The 21342-nt window shown below is 41.9% G+C and overlaps 2 protein-coding genes, 1 long non-coding RNA gene and 1 pseudogene across 16 annotated transcripts in view, besides 2 other annotated features; 2 read left to right on the forward strand and 2 right to left on the reverse strand.

The window, feature by feature from the left end:
* Positions 1 to 3701, forward strand: part of RINT1 (RAD50 interactor 1) — a 35477-nt gene extending 31776 nt beyond the window's left edge. For all 10 annotated transcript variants that reach the window (NR_144478.2, NM_021930.6, NM_001346600.2 and 7 more), the window contains 3 exons: positions 1301 to 1481; positions 1554 to 1672; positions 3143 to 3701. Coding sequence is in view for 9 of the 10 variants with exons in the window: in NM_021930.6 (NP_068749.3) it covers positions 1301 to 1481; positions 1554 to 1672; positions 3143 to 3335 (493 nt within the window). In the remaining variant the exon portion in view is untranslated. The remainder of the gene's footprint in view (positions 1 to 1300; positions 1482 to 1553; positions 1673 to 3142) is intronic.
* Positions 1148 to 17517, reverse strand: EFCAB10 (EF-hand calcium binding domain 10). Of its 5 annotated transcripts, none has more exons than NM_001355526.2 (5): positions 17382 to 17517; positions 5431 to 5595; positions 5227 to 5314; positions 3491 to 3514; positions 1148 to 1471 (listed from the first exon to the last, which is right to left on the reverse strand). In NM_001355526.2, coding segments are annotated over exons 1-5 (384 nt in total). In that variant the 5' UTR covers positions 17488 to 17517; the 3' UTR covers positions 1148 to 1470. The 5 variants fall into 5 exon arrangements, with proteins under 5 accessions (NP_001342455.1, NP_001342459.1, NP_001342460.1 ...); NM_001355530.2 differs by having other exon boundaries at positions 1148 to 1639; NM_001355531.2 differs by lacking the exon at positions 3491 to 3514.
* Positions 7107 to 9684, forward strand: EFCAB10-AS1 (EFCAB10 antisense RNA 1). Its single transcript, NR_182303.1, has one exon. It is a non-coding gene; the product is annotated as an EFCAB10 antisense RNA 1 (long non-coding RNA).
* Positions 16909 to 17421: an enhancer, noted in NCBI's record as "H3K27ac-H3K4me1 hESC enhancer chr7:105221332-105221844 (GRCh37/hg19 assembly coordinates)". NCBI's record gives its function as "activates a minimal SCP1, AML or CMV promoter by ChIP-STARR-seq in naive and primed H9 embryonic stem cells {active_cell/tissue: H9 hESC(naive and primed)}" and the evidence as "EXISTENCE:reporter gene assay evidence [ECO:0000049][PMID:30033119]".
* Positions 17422 to 17932: an enhancer, noted in NCBI's record as "H3K27ac-H3K4me1 hESC enhancer chr7:105221845-105222355 (GRCh37/hg19 assembly coordinates)". NCBI's record gives its function as "activates a minimal SCP1, AML or CMV promoter by ChIP-STARR-seq in naive and primed H9 embryonic stem cells {active_cell/tissue: H9 hESC(naive and primed)}" and the evidence as "EXISTENCE:reporter gene assay evidence [ECO:0000049][PMID:30033119]".
* YBX1P2 (Y-box binding protein 1 pseudogene 2) lies at positions 17881 to 19431 on the reverse strand (annotated as a pseudogene).

A 21342-nucleotide genomic window follows, 5' to 3' on the forward strand; every position in this document is an offset into this window, starting at 1 on the left:
CACCAGTTTGGTAAAAGTTAAAGAATATGTGGTCAGATTTTCAAGGTGTCTAGATAGAACCCGGTTTGGCCTTATGTACTTTATTGTTGATGGAAATATTTCTAAAGTATGTTCTCTTGGACATTTTTTTTGAGACAGTCCTACTCTGTCACCCAGGCTGGAGTGCAGTTGCACGATCTTGGCTCATTGCAACCTCTGCCTTAGAGGTTCAAGTGACCTTCCCACCTCAGCCTCCCAAGTAGCCAGGACTACAGGCATGCACCACCACACAAGGCTAATTTTTGTATTTTTAGTAGAGATGTGGTTTCACATTTTGGGCAGGCTGATCTCCAACTCCTGACCTCAGGCAAGCCACCTGCCTCGGCCTCCCAAAGTGCTAGGATTACAGGTGTGAGCCACCACACCTGGCTGACATTCTTAATCAGAATAAACTGATTATAATTTAGTTGTTTGTAAATATATCAATAGGATAGTGTGTGATCTGGGGTTGAATAGCCTAACCTGTCTCCCATTTTGCAAAGTAAAGTGCACCTGTGGTACTCTGCATACTTTTGTTGTGGTTTATCCCACTACCATTCACTGTGAACACCTGTGTTACTTTCATCCTTGATAGCAAGCAGTATCTTTTTGTCCTAGCATAGTCCCTGCCACACAGAGTGCTTAAAATTCGTTTATTAGTCCTGTTTTTACTAAAAATTAGAGGATAATATTAGCTGATGTCTTAATTAAAATGCTAAAATCAGGCTGGGTGCAGTGGCTCACACCTGTAATCCCAGCACTTTGGGAGGCCAAGGCGGGCAGATTACTTGAGGGCAGCAATTCGAAACTAGCCTGGCCAACATGGCGAAACCCTGTCTCTACTAAAAAATTCAAAGATTAGCTGGGCGTGGTGGTGGGCACCTGTAATCCCAGCTACTTGGGAGGCTGACACGAGAATTGCTTGAACCCTGTGGCTCTAGCCTGGCCAACAGAGCGAGACTCTGTCTCAAAAAAAAAGAAAAACTACATAAATAAAATGCAAAAATTAAGTGACATTTTAAATTGTAATTGCCTTATATCAGTAATTCACATATTAAAATTTGGGGATATTTTGGATATATCCCCATATTAAAGAGTATTTGAGAGTGAAAATATAAATACAGGTACATTTATTTTCTGATAGAGCTTTTAATGTTAGGCTGTATATTTTTTCTTATCCAAAATGCCCTAGGACAGAACACTTCCTCAAATTTAAAATGATTTAAAAACTTGAAAAATAGAAACTGATGAAAATTTTTTGGTAAAAATGTGTTTTTTCCAGATGGTTGTCCTTGCCATCTCAGTCAGAGCAGGCAGTGATGTCCCTGTCCAGTTCGGCTTGCCCGTTGCTGCTGACGTTACGAGACCATTTACTTCAGTTGGAGCAGCAGCTTTGTTTCTCCTTATTTAAAATTTTCTGGCAAATGCTTGTAGAGAAGCTGGATGTATACATCTACCAAGAAGTAAGTAAGAATAGACTGTTTTTGGGCTGTGATAATAAAGACAACTGTTATATGAATTATTCTTTGTTTCAGATAATTCTTGCTAATCACTTCAATGAAGGAGGAGCAGCCCAGCTGCAGTTTGATATGACTCGGAATCTTTTCCCTTTGTTTTCTCACTATTGCAAGAGACCAGAAAATTATTTTAAACAGTAAGCTCAACATTTAACAATTAATATTAATGTATCAAATTGTTACAGGAGGCTAACTCCTTTTAACTTTAGGGTTCTGGAGATGTTTGGGTGGGATAAGATCAGTTGAAATTTTAAAACATTGTCTATCTACTGTATGCTTACAGCACAATGGGGAAACCAAGATGATAGATGTGACCCATGACCTCAAAAAGTTTCAGAACTAGATATAAATTACCTGTTGGGTTTTGTTTTCTAGTATTTGGTTTAATGCTTCTAGTTGCTTAGTTACTGGAGGAATAAATAGAAAATGAAAACAAGTACAGTTGTGCCCTATTCACTAAATATAAGAAATTACAGGGCCGGGCGTGGTGGCTCACGCCTGTAATCCCAACACTTCGGGAGGCTGAGTTGGGCAGATCACAAAGTCAGGAGATCGAGACCATCCTGGCTAACATAGTGATACCCCCATCTCTACTAAAAATACCAAAAAAAAAAAAATTAGCCAGGCCTGGTGGCGGGCACCTGTAGTCCCACCTGCTTGGGAGGCTGAGGCAGGAGAATGATGTGAACCCGGGAGGCGGAGCTTGCAGTGAGCCAAGACTGTCTCAAAAAAAAAAAAAAATTACAAATATGTTTAATACCTAATAGGCCAGGCCTGAAAGAAATTTGTTTCCTTAAACATTTGACATTAATTTTGGTTCTAAATATAATTATAGTTTCAGAATTTGTTGATCTAAAATTTATAGGCCAGGCATAGTAGCCCACATCTGTAATCCCAGTACTTTGGGAGGCAGAGGTGGGAGAATTGCTTGAGGCCAGCTGTTTGAGACCAGCCTGGGCAACATAGCAAGACTCCATCTCTACAGAAAGTATTAAAATGAACAAACAAAAAAAAGCCAGGTGTGGGGGTGTGGACCTGTAGTCCTAGCTACTTGAGAGGCTGAGGCTGTAGTGAGCTATGATCGTGCAGTTTCACTCCAGCCTAGGTGACAGAGCAAGACCATGTCTCAAAAAAAAAAAGTAAAATTTAAATTATGTTTGGGTTTTGTGAGGTTATAAAGCATTCCTTTTAGACTTATAAAATGAAAGCTTATGTTTACACGTTTCATAGGACTGTTTTTAAAATTTATTTTAATGTTCTTTCTGCTGCTTTCATTTATCTCTTATTTTTGTCTTTTCCCATGTTCTAATCTACCTAAAGTTATAGCTATATTTAATATAGTGTTAATATTAAGTATTGTATTTAGGGAAATAACGGATACATATTGAAATAGGGATCGTATTACCTTATAGTAATCTAAAGAAATAGCAACTCTGCACCTGTGTAGTCTTACCATGTTAAAAGAACCAAATAATAAATCCATAAATATTTTTATAGAGAACATGTGGACCAGCAGTGCAGAGAAGCTGTTTAGGATTCTCAAAATTGTAATATAATTGATGCAGATAATGGAGATCTCATTTCCCTCCTTTGTTTTCCCTAAACAGTATAAAAGAAGCCTGTATTGTTTTGAATTTGAACGTCGGTTCTGCACTACTGCTGAAAGATGTACTGCAGTCAGCTTCAGGGCAGCTTCCTGCCACAGCAGCATTAAATGAAGTTGGAATTTACAAACTGGCTCAACAAGATGTTGAGATTCTACTTAATTTGAGGACAAATTGGCCTAATACTGGAAAATAATGTCTTTCAGAAAAAGGTTTCTTTGGTTTTTGTTTCTAAGAAAGAGGAAGCCAATTGGATTTCAAGTTATATGATGAAATTCTGAATTAATGAAACTGGAAAACTTTATAGAATTACTTATTATCTTGGATTTATGGTGTTATTAAAATGCTGACCATATTTCCTTCATCCTCTTGTTCCTAAGGAAACAAAAACAGAAAACGAAACAATGAAAACTCAATTCTATTTACAAGTATAAATGCTGAGTATGTCTGTTGAAGACGAGCAGAGATATTAAATTATAACCAACTTTCAATTTCCTGTGCTAATTAAGGGAAATTCTGTTGTGGATAATCAAACATAGCCAATAAATTTTTTTAAAACTCCCTTTGAATGCATATTTGTAATTGAGGCACCTGTATCTAGTTTGGGAATTAACTGTATTTCCATGAGGAAACTGGCAGGGCACAGTGTCTCATGCCTGTAATCCCAGCACTTTGGGAGGCTGAGGTAGGAGGATTGCTTGAGGCAGGAGTGCGAAAACATCCTGGCCAACATGTCAAGACCCTGATGCATGCCTGTAGTTCTAGCTACTTGGGAGGCTGAGGTGGGAGGCTAGCTTGAGCCCAGGAGGTCAAGACTACAGTGAGCTCTGATTGTGACACGGCACAGCAGCCTGGGCAAGCGAACAAGACCCTGTCTCTAAAGAACAAAACAAAACACATTGTGAGATGGTGAATAAGATAGGATTGTTCTTCATTTCTCACAAATGCCCTTCTATTTTAAATGCTTCCTAGTTTCATTCTGTGTGACAGTGGGCAACCCTTTCTTTCTGGATGAAACATTTCAGGCCATGGCACTCTGACTCAAACATTCCCATGTGGTAGGGAATGTAATTAAACATTTTTATTATTTATGTAACTTATGAGACAAAAGTCTCAAAAGTTTATTTTTTCTTGTAACTTTTCCTTGTCCTTGGGGTATATTCAATAATAGTTACTTGACTAATAAAATCTCAGAGTAAAACTCTTTAAAAAATTGAGCTAGATTCCCTGGAAACTTTCCACAACTATTAAATTTTATTCCAATGGTTTTTCTCTGACTTAGCAGTGGGTTAGTACTTTTAATCCTGTAATATCTCAAAATCTAAAATTATCAGACTAACATGCAGCCTATGCTTCTGATAAACATTTACTTTGTGATAATTTTGAGGAAATATTTTGAGATAGATTCTATTAGTATGTATTTTATAGAGAGAGTTTCCAGCTAGTGTGTTGAGCTCAAAATGTTTCTGTTTGTTAGTTGTCCTAGCATATTGGTGCTTCTTCACCTCATCCTTTGAGAATTGCTGGGGCTTCCTATTTAGAATGGAGCTGGCTGGGCACAGCCCATTACATGCCTGTAATCCCAGCACTTTGAGAGGCCGAGGCAGTGGATCACTTGAGATCAGGAGTTTGAGACCAGCCTGGCCAACATGATGAAACCCTGACTCTACTAAAAATACAAAAAAATTATCTGGATGTGGTGATGCGCATCTGTAAGCCCAGCTACTGGGAAGCTGAGGCAGGAGAATCGCTTGAACCCGGGAGGTGGAGGTTGCAGTGAGCCGACATATTGCCACTGCACTCCAGCCTGGGCAACAGAGCAAGACTCCATCTCAGGGAAAAAAAAAAAAAAAAAAAGAATGGAGCTGCCTCTGGAACTTCCTCTCTAACCCCAGCATTTTCCCTTCCTATTCCCAAGTTTAGGGACTTTACCGTCAGCCTTACCTGTCCTCACTTTCCAGTCAGCTGAAAGTTTCAAGGGAACAAAATATTTCTTTCAAAAGATAGGAACCTGTTTTAAAGGTATTAATTGTGCTTCAAAATCATGCCACCTTATTAAAATATTTGTCACTTAAAAATAAACTTACACTTCCTCCTTGAATTTATCCAAAGTTATTTTATGTCCATCATCTTGTAAATCTTCATCTTCAGTGCATAGACCCAGGGTTTTTAGGGCTGTAAAATAATGAGAAGAAATGAAGTGAGAATTTTACAAAGTGAGAAGTATTTTCTGCTAGAAAAAACTGTGGAATGACCACAAACTATTACCTCAATTTGTAGAATGTACTGACCTTCTTTATACTGCACAAATGATATGGTGCCTCTGCCTGAGGAGTCCATCATCTCAAACATAGCCACAATGTTAGAGTTATCCATAAAGAAAGGAAACGCCACGCCTGTTACTTTTGCAATTCTCAGTCGTTCCAATAGAGATATTAAATATTCTTTTGGTTTTTCTGCAAAAGAATAGTTCCAGCTCTTTCTGATACGAAATTAAAATATGTCGCAAATAGAAGTAGTCATTTAACAATTATTAAACAGCTATAGCAAAGGCACTGTACTAGGCGCTGGGGACACAGGCCTTAGTTTTCATAAACAGTCCAGCAAGAAGGTAAGACATTGAACACTTAAATAATTACATATACAAATGCCCTATCTCAGATGATAGAATAGAAAACTATAGAGACTGGACCTGGGCATTTTTTAGAAAAACTCCCCAAGTGACTATAAGTTGCAGACAGGGTTGAAAACCAAAAACATAGAGGGAACAGCATAATACAGGGAAGAAGTTGGCAACCTAAATAATTGATAAGATATAAATAATAGGCTGGGCATGGTGGTTCATGCCTGTAATCTCAGCACTTTGGGAGGCCGAGGAGGGCAGATCACCTGAGGTTGGGAGTTTGAGACCAGCCTGACCAACATGGAGAAATCCCATCTCTAGTAAAGTTAGCCAGGCGTGGTGGTGCATGCCTGTAATCCCAGCTACTCGGGAGGCTGAGGCAGGAGAATCGCTTGAACCCGGGAGGCAGAGGTTGCAGTGAGCCAAGATCACGCCACTGCACTCCAGCCTGGGCAACAGAGCAAGACTCTCTCAAAAAAAAAAAAAAAAAAAAAAAAAAAAAATATATATATATATATATATATATATATACACACACACACACATACATATACACATACACACACACATATATATAAATATAATAAAAACAAAGACTGATAAATATGGTCCTCCAGGAAGCACATGTACTCATTTCTAACAAAGCAATTTGGATAAATATTCTGTAGTTTAAGCAATTTTAAAAATAAAAAATCACGATCAACTTACTTTTCAGAAATAATGCAGAACAATCATGATGAAAAAGCCAAAAAGAGTAGTGATAGAGCAGTTTGGATGGTATATACCACTCCTGCTGCCTGACCATTTTATCATTTCAATCTTAAGCTTTACTCTTACATTTTTTTTTTTAAGTTAGAGACAGGATCTTGCTATGTTGCCCAGACCAGTCTCGAGCTCATGGGCTCAAGCAGTCCTCCCACCTCAGCCTCCCAAAATGCTGGGATTTATAGGCATGAGCCACCATGCTTGGCCAACTCATATTTTCTTTCAAAAATTTAAGTAACAGCTGGGCACGGTGGCTCACGCCTGTAATCCCAGCACTTTGGGACGCCGAGGCAGGTGGATCATGAGGTCGGGAGATCGAGACCATCCCGGCTAACACGGTGAAACCCCGTTCTCTACTAAAAATACAAAAACTTAGCCGGGCGTGGTGACGGGTGCCTGTAGTCCCAGCTACTCGGGAGGCTGAGGCAGGAGAATGGCGTGAACCTGGGAGGTGGACCTTGCAGTGAGCTGAGATTGCGCCACAGCACTCCAGCCTGGGCGACGGAACGAGACTCCGTTTCAAAAAAAAAAAAATTTTTTTTAAGTTACATCATTACTGAGAATTTCATGTTTATAAAAGTAGACAGAAAAGTAAAATGAACCCATCGCCAACTTCAACTGTTAAAATTTGTGGCCAATTTCACTACAGCCCTATCCACATCAATTTGTGAGGAACAAAGTTAATCTTGTTTGTGCCCTAATTGAAGAGGACTGACAATTAACAGCATAAACAATAGCCCAAACCATCTCAGTTGGTTCATTTTATGCAATTCTGACTGAAAAGGTTAAGCAAACTTTCCACTCAATCAGTGCCAAAACCATTGCACCAGATCAGCTGCAGACAAAAAAGCACAGCTTTCAATGGAAAATTTTAAACGTGGGATCAAGATCCTGAAGCAATTCTTCAAAGAACTGTTAACAGGAGATGAAACGTAGTTCTACAGTATCATCCCAAAGACAAACCCAATCAAAGCAATGGCTACCAAGAGGTGACATGGTCCAGTCAAAGCACAAGTTGACCGGTCAAGAGCAAAGGTCATGGCAACACTTTTTTGGGATGCTCAAGGCATTTTGCTTTTTGAATTTTTGGAGTCCCAAAGAATGATAGCATCTGCTTATTATGAGAATGTTTTAAGAAAGTTAGCCAAAGCTTTAGTTAAAAAAAGCCCAGGAAAATTTCACCAGAAAGTCCTTCTCTACCACCACAATGCTCCTGCTCATTCCTCTCATGGAACAGGGCAATTTTACAAGAGTTTCAATGGGAAATCATTAGCATCCACCTTACAGTCCTGATTTAGCTCCTTTTGACTTTTTTGTTTCCTGATCTTAAAAAAAATCTTTAAAGGGCACCCATTTTTCTTTAATGATATAAAAAAGACTGCATTGACATGGTTAAATTCCCAGAGCCCTCAGAGTTCTTTAGGGATGGATTAAATGGCTGGTATCGTTGTTTACAAAAGTATCTTGAATTTGATAGAGCTTATGTTGAGAAATAATTTTTAATCTTTTAATTCCATTTTTCCATGAACTTTTTGAAGTCCCCGTATACATACTTTTTCATGGTGAGAACACTTATAATCTACTGTCAGCAATTTTCAAATATAAAATATATTATTAACTGTAGTCACCATGATATACAGTAGATCTCTTGAACTTATTCCTCTTTTGTCTGAAATTTTGTATGCTTTGGCCAACATCTCCCCAATCCCCCTGCCTTTCAGCTCTTGAGCATCATTTAACTCTTTTTATGAGTTTGACTTTTTCAGATTCCACATATAATTAAGATCATGAGGTATTCTTCTGTGCGTGATTTACTTCACTTAATGTTTTCTAGGTTCATCCATGTTGTTGCAAATGACAGGATGTCCGTCTTTTAAGACTGAATAGTATTTCATTGTGTATATATCACATTTTCTTTATCCATTCATCCATGGACACTTAGGCTGATTGTGTATAGTGGCTATTGTGAATAGTGCTGCGATGAATACAAGTGCAGGTATTTCTTCAACATACTGATTTCATTTCCTGTGGATATATACCCAGTGGTGGGAATGCCAGATAAGTTCTATATTTAAGTTTTTGAGAAACCACCATATTGTTTTCCATAATGGTTGTACTAATTCACAATCCCACCGGTAGTGTACAAGGGTTCCCTTTTCTCCACATCCTTGCCAACACTTGAAATCTTTCATCTTTTGTTAGCGTTTTAGAGATGGGGTCTCATTATGTTGCTCAGGCTGGTCTTGAACTCCTGGACCCAAGTGATCCTCCTGCCTCGGCCTTCTGAGTAGCTGGGACTACAGGCATGTGCCATCGTGCTCAGCTCTCTTTTGTTTTTTGATAACAGCCTTTCTAACAGGTGTGAGGTGATATCTCATTGTGGTTCTAATTTGCATTCACCCGATTAGTGATATTGAGCATTTTTTCATATACCTGTAGGCCATTTCTGTATCTTCTATGGAAAAATGTCTATCTATGTCCTTTGCCCATTAAAAAAAAAATTTTTTTTTTTTTTTAACTATTGAGGTCTGACATGTTTTGGATATTAACCCCTTATCAGACATATAGTTTGCAAATATATTCTCCCATTGCATAGGTTGTCTCTTCACTCAGTTTATGTTTTTAAATCTTTTAATTTATAGGTTTCCACTGCATCTTTTTCATCCCTGGGAATTTATGTGTTGAAACCAGAAGTAGACTTTTAAATCTAATATTGTGCCTTACTTGTACAAATAGGCTCTAGCAATAAATAGGCTACTAAAGGCAGTCACATTTTGTATGAGGTCTTCTGTTTCTTCTTCCTGGACCATATATCAAATTCAGAAACTGGAAAAAGGCCAAGTTTGAATTTCAACTCACTACATTTCATTTTAAGGCTTGAATAAGTAAATAATGCTAATGGAACTTGGTGTACCACTTTGATGAAAATCCAAACCAGGCTTATTGTGTATCCTTTAGGCTGCATGGGATGTTACAATGTTTATGTTTGGAGACTACAATTTATACTCTACCTGCTTTTAAAAATGTTTTGAAAATGATCACAACATAAATATATATAATAAAGACAGAATCTTTTTAAATCATGAAAGGAAGAGCCAAATGTTACTAACCACCTATGTTACAATGTCAGCTGATATTAAAAACAATTTTTCAAGGGATACAATGTTCAGGTTCAACATCTTAATCATAATAGCTATCTGAGCCCTTACTATATGCCTGGTACTGTGTGAAGCATTTTCTATGGATCATTTCATTTACTCCTCAGAACAGTCACTTGCTCAAGGCCACACAGCCAGTATGAATCCAGGCAATGTGCTTCTAAAGCTTGCAGACTTTACCACACTCTACTAAAATATGGGAAGCATCTTCAATGGTGAAATCTAGTCAGTCATGATAGTCTCCATTGAGTTTTTTCTCAATAGCTTTCAAATTCATTTTACTCTACCACTCCCACAGCAATCTCTCTCATTTGGGTTACTATTAATATAATTGTCTAATTTTATTAAAGCCATCCCCTAAAAATTCATATTCCCTCTTTATACAGCATAGAATTGTCACTGGGAAATGGCAGCATAGCCAGCAACCATATATATACACACATACACACACACAATGTGTGTGTATATATATATATATATATATACACATACATATATATACACACACACCCATATGTATATATACACACACACGTATATATATAGACACACACACACCCGTATATGTACACACATATATACAGTATATATATATATATATACATATACACAGTATATATAAACAAATACATGTACTCTATTAGTATGTTTTCATGCTGCTGATAAAGACATACGTGAGACTGAGTAATTTATACAGGAAAAAGGGTTTAATAGACTTACAGTTCCACATGGCTGGGGAGGCCTCACAGTCATGGCAGAAGGCACAGAGGAGCAAGTCATGTCTTACATGGATGGCAGCAGGCAAAGAGAGACCTTGTGCAGGGAAGCTCCTTTTTTTTTTGAGACGGAATCTCGCTCTGTTGCCCAGGCTGGAGTGCAGAGGCGCGATCTTGGCTCACTGCAAGCTCTACCTCCCAGGTTCATGCCATTCTCCTGCCTCAGCCTCCCGAGTAGCTGGGATTACAGGCGCCCGCCACCATGCCCGGCTAATTTTTTGTATATTTTTAATAGAGGGGTTTCACCGTGTTAGCCAGGATGGTCTCGATCTCCTGACCTTGTGATCTGCCTGCCTCAGCCTCCCAAAGTGCTGGGTTTACAAGCGTGAGCCACTGTGCCCAGCCAGAAACTCCTGTTTTTAAAACCATCGGATCAGGTCAGGCGCAGTGGCTCACACCTGTAGCTTCAGCACTTTGGGAGGCCAAGGAGAGTGGATCACCTGAGGTCAGGAGTTCAAGACCAGCCTGGCCAACATGGTGAAACTCTATCCCTACTTAAAAAAAAAAAAAAAAAAAAAAATCAAAAAATTAGCCAGGCATAGTGGTGCGTGCCTGTAATCCCAGCTACTCAGGAGGCTGAGGCAGGAGAATCACTTGAACCCAGGAGGTGGGGGTTGCGGTGAGCCAAGATCGTGCCATTGCACTCCAGCCTGGGCAACAACAGCGAAACTCTGTCTCAAAAAAAAAAAAAAAAAGTGGCCATCAGATCTCTTGAGACTTATTCACTATCACAAGAACAGCATGGGAAAGACTTGGCCCCATGATTCAATTACCTCCCACCAGGTCCCTTGCACAATGTGTGGGAATTCAAGATGAGATTTGGGCGGGGATACAGCCAAACTATATCATATACATAAATATATATACACATACATATATATATATTTTTTAGATGAAGTCTCACTTTGTCACCCAGGCTGGAATGCAGTGGTGCAATCTTGGCTTACTGCAACCTTTGCCTCCCAGGTTCAACTGATTCTCTTGCCTCAGCCTCCCAAGTAGCTGGGATTACAAGTGTCCGCCACCATGCTCAGCTAATTTTTGTAACAACCAGCAATTATATTTCCCAATATACCCTAGCTGAGGCAAGTTTTTCCTACCAAATTATTTCAGGTCAGGTCAGGTCTTGCTGTTACACTTAACTTATGAAACTGTTGGTTTTTACAGCTTTCAGAATTTTGGAATTCAGAATGGGGGACTGCGTACCTGTTTCCTCAATAGTAATTGCCCAATTAAACTGTCTAGTCTTATTTTCTGCAACTCCTCTGTAATTCCAAGGTTTTCAAATTGGGACACATATCATAATACCTGGGGCTTCAGCTGGGTGCGGTGGCTCATGCCTGTAATCCCAGCACTTTGGGAGGCCGAGGTGGGAGGATCGCCTGAGGTTGGGAGTTCGAGACCAGCCTGACCAACATGGAGAAACCCCATCTCTACTAAAAATACAAAATTAGCCAGGCATGGTGGCACATGCCTGTAATCCCAGCTACTAGGGAGGCTGAGGCAGGAGAATCACTTGAACCTGGGAGGCAGAGGTTGCAGTGAGCTGAGATCGCGCCATTGCACTCCAGCCTGGGCAACAAGAGCGAAACTCCGTCTCAACAAAAAAAGAAATACCAGGGGCTTCACAAAGACACAGGATAAAGCTAGTGTGTCTTTCTAAGCATCAATCATACCTTGGTGAGTAATATAAAACATTTATATTAAGAAATAGGTATAGCTACGAAAGAACAGATCTCATGTATTTTTAGGACAAAACGACTTCAAAGAAACTTCTTATGCCACATCAGGCTAAGGTCCCAGACACTGAATGGACAAGTCCTTTCTCCTCTGCCATTAGGAGGACTTAGGCAGAAAACTTCAACAGCACTGCATACATACTCTGCATGCCAGCCCACCCCTTCTTTAGCTTCATTACCTTCTTATTCTGGCTCAGTGTTTCTGTACCTATGGTTTCCTCTCCCCAGCTTTGGTGTTTATAAAGATATTTTAAGGAATTCTCATCATCATTATTATTATTATTAAGACAGATTCTCACTCTGTTGCCCAGGCTGGAGTGCAGTGGCACAATCTCAGCTCACTGCAAGCTCCGCCTCCCAGGCTCACACCATTCTTCTGCCTCAGCCTCCTGAATAGCTGGGACTACAGGTGCCTCCCACCATGCTTGGCTCATTTTTTTTGTATTTTTAGTAGAGATGGAGTTTCACTGTGTTAGCCAGGATGGCCTCGATATCCTGACCTCGTGATCCGCCTGCCTTGGCCTCCCAAAGTGCTGGGATTACAGGTGTGAGCCACCGCGCCTAGCCGGAATTCTCATTATTGAAGATGGTACCCAGCCAGGTGCAGTGACTTACACCTGTAATCCAAGCACTTTGGGAGGTCAAGGTGAGAGGATCACTTGAGGTCAGGAGTTCGAGACCAGTCTGGACAACATGGCAAAACCCCGTCTCTACTAAAAATACAAAAATTAGCTGGGCATGGTGGTTTGCACCTGTAATCCCAGCTACTCTGGAGACTGAGGCATGAGAATCACTTGAACCCCAGAGGCGGAGGTTGCAGTGAGCCAAGATGTGCCACTGTACCCCAGGCTGGGCGACAGGGCAAAACTCCGTCTTAAAAAAAAAAAAAAGTGGTACCCATGTCTCAGTTTTAAAAAAACAGCTACACTATTTATGTGATAGGTATATAATTAATGTATGAGTATTCCCAGACTTCCCTTCCACCAAAGAGAATTTTGTCTTTATCTGCTTAGGTTCTTTTCCCCCCATAATGCCTTCTACTGGAAAATTCTGGTTTTGCCAGATGGGTGCAAGGCTTTTTGTGCTGGAGGAAAAAAAGAATCTTCAAGATGCTAAATTGTTTGACATAATAAAGAGCTGAGAAAAACATGCAAGATAGGGAGGAGACAGAAGAGTTGGATGGGCTGAGTGTCATGAATTTGGAACCTGATAGGATCTGCAGCTGCTGTGGAGAATACAGCTGGGAACAAGGAGGAAGGACTTTTGAGTGGTTTTACTGTGGATTATGAATTGAAGTCTTTTTGATTCCTTTCAAATTACTCTTGATTGCTGGAATGACTGTGCTGCTTTGAGTGTGATTCTGTGTTGCAACCGAGATGGCCAAATGGAGGCCTCTGTGTGTATTATAACTGTTTGAGATGCTCAGAGACTATCCTGAAGTTCACTCAGATCAGGTAAGTGGGCTCATGTTGTGACTCAGAAAAATTAAGTTTTCATTCAGTTGACCCATTGGCTGCCATGGTGCTTTTGTCTGTTCAATTTTTTTTTTTTTTTTTCCTTGAGGCAGAGTCTTGTTCTGTCACCCAGGCTGGAAGTGCAGTGGTGCAATCTCAGCTCACTGCAACCTCTGCCTCCGCGTTCAAGCGATTCTCCTGTCTCAGCCTCCCGAATAACTGATTACAAGCATGTGCCACTACACCTGATTTTGTATTTTTAGTAGAGACAGCATTTCACTGTGCCACCATATCTGGATAATTTTGTATTTTTAGTAGAGATAGTTTTTCACCACGTTGGCCAGGCTGGTCTCGAACTCCTGACCTCAAGTGATCTACCCACCTTGGCCTCCCAAAGTGCTGGGATTATAGGCGTGAGCCACCATCCCAAGCCTGTCTTTTTAAATTTTGTTGTTCATATCATGTTTAAGATACCCGTATTCAGGATAATCAAAGGTTCCAGTTGGCCTGGGACAGTCCTAGTTTACCATGTTGTCCTGGCATAATTATTAATAGTACCTATTTTCACTCAAAATATCCCCGGTTTGGATGATAACTCATACAGTCATCTTACCCATAAAGAACGACTAATGAAGACAGGAAATGTAAGTATAAGTCAGTGAGGAGCATCAAAATAACAATTTGGTAAATTCTCAAGAGAATCTGCAGATTCATAAATTGCATTCTTCTGATAAAAATTATACAACATATCAAGATGTAAAGTAAATTAGAAAATCAAGCCAAGATGTCCAATATCCAATAATAATTCCAGAAAGATATAGGTAAGGAAAATAAGAAAAATACTTCCTAGACCTGAAAGAAAAATATCTCCAAATTTAATAAGACCATAAAGTACCTAGAGCACAAACATTAACAGCAACCACAACAAAACCATTCCAAGGCATATATTTAGGACACCAGGGATAAGATAAAAAGACAATCCTAAAAAGTTTCTGGAAAGAATAAACTTGCCTCATAGCCAGATCAAGTATCTGATGACATATGACATCAGAATTCTTCAGAGCAACATGAGAAATTAGAAGACAATGGGGCAATGCCTTAAAAATTCTGAGGGCAATATGTTCCAAGTTAAAATTGTGTCCACTCTTATTTTATTTTATGAGACAGAGTCTCACTCTGTTGCTCAGGCTGGAGTGCAACAGTGAAATCTCAGCTCACTGTAACCTCTACTTCCCAGGTTCAAGTGATTCTCCTGCCAGAGTCTCCCTAGTAGCTGGGACTAGAGGCACATGCCACCATGCCTGGCTAATTTTTGTATTTTTAGTAGAGATGGGGTTTCACCATGTTGGCCAGGCTGGTCTCTAGCTCTTGACCTCAAGTGATCCACCCGCCTTGGCCTCTCAAAGTGTTGGGAGGTGTGAGCCTCCGTGCACAGCCTCCACTCTATTAAAAAGTTTTGAATGTAGGAACTCACATTTTTATATACGTGTGTTCCCAAAATCTTTACCCCTCAAAGCACGCTCTCTCAGGAAGCCACTAAAGGATATGCTCCACCAGAAGAAAGCGGTAAAGCAAGAATGAGGGATTACTGGCTGTGCCATAAAACAGGCTCTGAACACTAGAAAGGCGAGGAGTCGTCTTAGGATCAGAGTGAGGGGAAGCCGTGAATAACCACTGTGTAGCTATCAGTCCAGACTGGAGCAGGAAGACACACAGCTGGGGGTACGGGGTTTGGGTGGTGGTGGTGGGGGTAATTACCCAATGAATGCAAATGTAATGAGAGGACAGCTGTACTGTGGCAAAAGAGGGTATGGATGAATTAGTGATGATCACACAAATTTAAGCCAAAAATGTAAATATATTATTAACCAGGGAAAACAACAAGGGAAATATAATCAGCATACTATAAGGATTATAGATACTTGCCTAACAATATTAAAAATTCTGAATACTGAGGATATCAAAATTGTGATCTAAATTTATCTGGAAGATGGGTGTGAGTGGGAACAGGTGTATGAGGTGTGTGTTTAAGAAAGGCGCATTTTCATCTTCCACAGCATAAAGCTAGTATCTAACCTAGAGGGAAAAACATTAAGCAGCAGCAATATAGGCCTGTTATTTAGAAATCTCAAGATAAATAGCAAAGAATATTGCTAAAAGAGTTGAAATTATTCTGTGCAGAAGCTGGGGATAGCAACAGGAATGCTGTTATTATAAGCTTTGGAGTACTTTTCAATTTTTAAACCCCATACATCCACTTCAATAAAAATGAAATTTAAAAATAAATGTTGACAAATATTTTATATAACGAATGTAACATAATATATCCCTTGTTATGATGAAGAAAATTAACATTTGTCTTTATTTTTAGTTTTTTTTTTGAGAAGGTGTTTTACTCTGTCACCTGGCTTGAGTAGCAATCTCCGCTCAATGCAACCTCCGCCTCCCAGGTTCACGTGATCCTCCCACATCAGCCTCTTGAGTAGCTGGGATTATAGGCACGCACCACCACGTGCAGCTAAGTTTTTTTATTTTTAATAGAGATGGGGTTTTGCCATGTTGCCCAGGCTGGTCTATGAACTCCTGAAGTCAAGTGATCTGCCCACCACAGCCTCCCAGAGCGTTGGTATTATAGGCGTGAGTCACCGCCCCCAAGGAGCTTCACGAATAGCTGGGATTACAGGCATGCGCTACCACACCCGGCTAATTTTTTGTATTTGTAGCAGACACGAGGTTTCACCATGTTGGCCAGGCTGGTCTCAAACTCCTGAACTCAAGTGATCCACCCGCTTCGGCCTCCCAAAGTACTGGGATTACAGGCCTGAGCCACTGCTCCTGGCCTATTTTTTATTTTTATTTTTATTTTTGAGATAGGATCTCGCTTTGTCGCCCAGGCTGCAGTGGCGCCATCTCGTGCCCGGCCTTTTTTTTTCTTTCTAATATTTGTTTTAATACTTTAAAACAACTAGCAAGAACTCTGTCTCCTATACATGATATTGGTTGGGTGTTTTTTGGCAAAATTGGAATGTTTGGTATTTCCACTTCCTTACACAGAAGCAAATGGACAATTTTGGCATTTCGGACGCTCCATATGGAGGTCGGCAAATTACAATTCTGCACCCTGGGGAGGACATAAAACCATTTTCACCTAAATATAACTTTTAAATGACACACCACTCCCAAATTACAAAACGATTCAAATTTTGTAGGGGGTTCAGATGTGTAAAAAAAGTCAGGAAAAGCGATCCCCTCTAGAACATCTTCTATCCTACCCTATCAATTGTTTAGTTGCCAGATTAAAAACTTTGGCCGTGCGCGGTGGCTCACGCCTACAATCCCAGCACTTTGAGGCGCCGAGGCGTGCAGATCACCTGAGGTCAGGAGTTCGAGACCAGCCTGACCAACATGACGAAACCCTGTCGCTACTAAAAATACAAAAATTAGCCATGCATGGTGGCGGGCGCCTGTAATCTCAGCCACTCAGGAGGCTGAGGCAGGAGAATCGCCCCTGAGAATCGCCACCAGGAGGTGGAGGTTGTAGTGAAATGAGATCACGCCATTGTACTGCAGCCTGAGGGACTTTTATTGAAGGCCGCAGAGTTAATCAACAGCAGAAGGGCTCACGTGGCTGGGAGGCAGTGGAAAGCGAATGTGTAAGAGGGGGGTTTCGTGTGGGAAGCGAACCCCACATGGAGGTATGGCTGTACCGGGGCATGGGGGCCCTTACCCGGCCGAAAGAAAAGGAGGGCGCTGGTGAGGTAGCTAACCACCTCCTTGATCTGATGCTTTTCCAAATACTCCGCGGCTTGGAGCTCCCTGCTGCTGGTCTCCATCGCTCCGCGTCCCGCTGTTGCTAGGCGACTGCCTGGCGTCTCAGCCGTGCGACTCTGTCTCCCTCTACCCGGCGCGGTCACGTGACACGCCTGACTGCCCTGTGGCTGCGACCCGGACCTGGAATTTCTAGAGCTCACGGTTCAGGGCAAGCCTGGGGCATGTAGCAGGGCAGAGAGGGCAGGTGAGGTGTGGACCAACGTCACTGTCCGCGATCCAGGCTTAGGGCTGGGCCCAGGTGCCTTTTTCCATCTCTCTCTAGCACCTAGCTCGGTACTTGTTGATCCAATGATTAACAAGGCTTGAAGTGCTGGCATCACAACTCAGCATGAACTAATAACAGAAGGAACTTGTGCAATTTTGAGGGTGCCCAGTGGAGAGTTCTTTTTATTATTATTATTTAAGACCTTTATTAACAGGTGCTTGCAGTTTGTTGACTTTTTTGAAAAAATCAAGTTGTAAACTTTTATTACAAATTAAAAATAAAGTGCTTAAAAATCTCATCTTGACCAGATATGAAACAATTTAAAAACCTTTAAAGGCGTATTGAGAAAAACAAGGCTTTTTAAAAAAAACACGTTTGTTATTACCAAAAAGAGACATATTTAGGTAAAAATAATAAAAACCCCATGCTGCATAGATAATGCAGATAGTTCTATTTATCTGGTCAACGGGCAAAAAGCAAGCACTTAAGGTCTTCAGCTCCAATCTTTTGTTCATTTCTTATTGCTGGAATTTCATATTTCTTCTTGTTGGATGACTAAACCGGATGATGGTAGAGATGGTAAGCCGGCATTTACTCAGCCCCGCCCTGCTCAGCCTCGGGAGCAGACGAATTCTCAGCTGGTGGATTGGCTGATTTTGTCTCTTTGCCATCTTGTGATTTAGGGTTTTCTGGGCATCTGCGTTGGTAATTGAAGTTGCTGCGGTACCGACGTTGAGGTGGCTGCTGACCCTGGGTCTCATCTCCTTGATTTTATCTTCTTCATTGCCGTACTCTCTAGGCTGTCTTTGGCAAGGAGGGCCCCTGCGGAATCGTGGTCTATATCCCCGATACATATTCTGCCTCACTGGTCTACCTTGTTCTCCTGCACCCTGGTTGTCAGCACCCTCCATCACTTCTCCCTGCACAGGAGGGCTGGAATACTGTGGTCGACACCCATAGGGTCTCCGCATGTAGTAAGGTGGGAACCTTTGCCTGCGGTAGGGCCGGCATTGTTGGGCCTGGCCTTCGGGAGCATTCTCCGATCCCTCGGTCTTTTCCCCACTCTCACTGTTCTGGTAATTTTGCTGGTAATTGCGTGGAGGACCCCTATGACGTGGATAGCGTCTATAATGGTTACGATCTGCTGCATATTTACCGCCTTGAACTCGAACACCACCAGGATCTGTAACATTTGCTGCCTCCGCACCCTCTTCTCCTTCAACAACATCAAACTCCACAGTCTCTTCATCTCCTACACTGCGAAGGTACTTCCTGGGGTTATTCTTTATGGCAGTCTGGTGTACAAATACATCTTCCTTGGTGTCATTCCTGTTGATGAAACCATATCCGTTCCTTACATTGAACCATTTTACTGTTCCCAAAACCTTCACTGCGATGACCTTCTTGTCCACGCTGGCAGGCGCCGCCGATGTGAGGCCGCCCGGACCACCGCTCCCTGCGCAGCTGCCCGTAGTGCCGGGCTTGGTGTCGGCGGCGCTGAGGGCGGGGGCGGCGGGGGGACGGGAGGGGGGCGGTGGGGGGAAAGGCGGGGGCGGCGGGTGGCTGCTGGGTCTCGGCCTTGCTGCTCATTGGTTGCGGTGATGGAGACTGGGGCCGGCTGCGGCAGCTGCGGCTCCTCCCGTGGTATGACGGTAACTAGGCCGGCAGCGGCGGGGCTGCTCAGGGTTCTCTGGGGTCCGCTCTCCGGGGTCCGCTCTCCGCTCCCGCTACCGATCGAACTCCCCAGTGGAGAGTTCTAAGTGGCATCTCTGGTGTGAGCGGCCTGCAGGCATGGCGCTGGCCACCAGTCAGGAAGGTCTTGGCCTGTTGGCTCGACTGGGTTGTGGGCCACAGAGCAGCCTGGATCCTGAGCTTCAACCCCTGTTTGCTGGAGCTGGTTTTATGAGATGGAGACCACCTGACATATTTATTTATTTATTTAGAGACGGATTTTCGCTCTTGTCGCCCAGGCTGGAGTACAATGGCGTGACCTTGGCTCACTGCAACCTCCACCTCCCAGGTTCAAGAGATTCTCCTGCCTCAGCCTCCCAAGTAGCTGGGATTACAGGCAGGCACCACTACACCCTAATTTTTTTTGTATTTTTTAGTAGAGATGGGGTTTCACCATCTTGGCCAGGCTGGTCTGGAACTCCTGTCTGTTGCAGGAAGTCAGGCACCCCAAACGGAGGGACCGGCTGAAGCCATGGCAGAATATAAATTGTGAAGATTTCATGGACATTTATCACTTCCCCAGTCAATACTCTTGTGATTTCCTATGCCTGTGTTTACTTTAATCTCTTAATCCCATTGTCTTTGTAAACTGAGGATGTATGTCGCCTCAGGATCCTGCGACGATTGTGTTAACTGCACAAATTGTTCGTAAGCATGTGTGTTTAAACAATATGAAATCTGGGCACCCTGAAAAAAGAACAGGATAACAGCAATGTTCAGGGAACAAGGGAGATAACCATTAGGTCTGGCTGCCTGAGAGCCAGGCAGAACAGAGCCATATTTCTCTTCTTTCAAAAGCAAATAGAAATATCACTGAATTCCTTTTCTCAGTAAGGAACAGACCTGAGAAAGAGAATGCCTTTCCAGGGGTTGGTCTCTAAAATGGCCTGTCTTTCTAAAATGGAATGTCTTTTACAGTTGCAGATAAGGGATGAAATAAGCCCCAGTCTCCTGTAGCACTCCGAGGCCTATTAGGATGAGGAAATTCCCACCTAGTAAATTTTTAGTCAGACGGCTTGTCTGCTCTCAAACCCTATCTCCTGATAAGATGTTATCAATGACAATGCGTGACTGAAACTTCATTAGCAATTTTAATTTCGCCTGGGTCCTATGATCTCGCCCTGCTTCCATTTGCCTTGTAATATTTTATTTCCTTGTAAAGCATGTGATCTCTGTGACCCACACCGTATTCGTACACTCCCTCCCCTTTGAAAATCACTAATAAAAACTTGCTGGTTTTGCGGCTTGGGGGGTATCACGGAACCTGCCGACATGTGATGTCTCCCCCGGATACCCAGCTTTAAAATTTCTCTCTCCTGTACTCTTTATTTCTCGGACTGTCTGACACTTAGGGAAATAGAAAAGAACCTACATGAAATAACATTGAATTATTGGGGGCGGGTTCCCCTGATACCTGTCCTCAGGTGATCCTCCCACCTCGGCCTCCCAAAGTGCTGGGATTACAGGCGTGAGCCACCGTGCCTGGCCCTGACAGTTGTTTTGACGGAGGGTCACTGAGTAAGGTGGGATGCAAGTAGCTAGGAGGGCCTCTACTCAGTCATGGGAAGACCTGAGAAACTAAAACTCTGGGCTGGGCCATCTGTCCTTGAGGGCCTGTGCCCACATGCTTCACCCAAGAGTTAGCGCAGAAGCCCCACTTCAAGAAGGGGAATGACAAGTGGTCAGTGAACATGTGAAAATATTCTAAGCCTCTTTGACAATCCAGTAAACAAAACTATAAGAAAATACCATTTCACATCTACCAGACTGATAAAGATTATGAAGTTGAACAATATTAAGTGCTGGCAAAGATGTCACACAATTAATGAGATGGTCAGTGATCATGGGAGCATAAATTGGAACATCCACTTTGGAAAACGGTTTAGAATTATCTTGGTAATTTAAACATGTTTCTACACTC

Source organism: Homo sapiens, chromosome 7 (assembly GCF_000001405.40).
Source record: "Homo sapiens chromosome 7, GRCh38.p14 Primary Assembly".
NCBI lineage: Eukaryota > Metazoa > Chordata > Mammalia > Primates > Hominidae > Homo > Homo sapiens.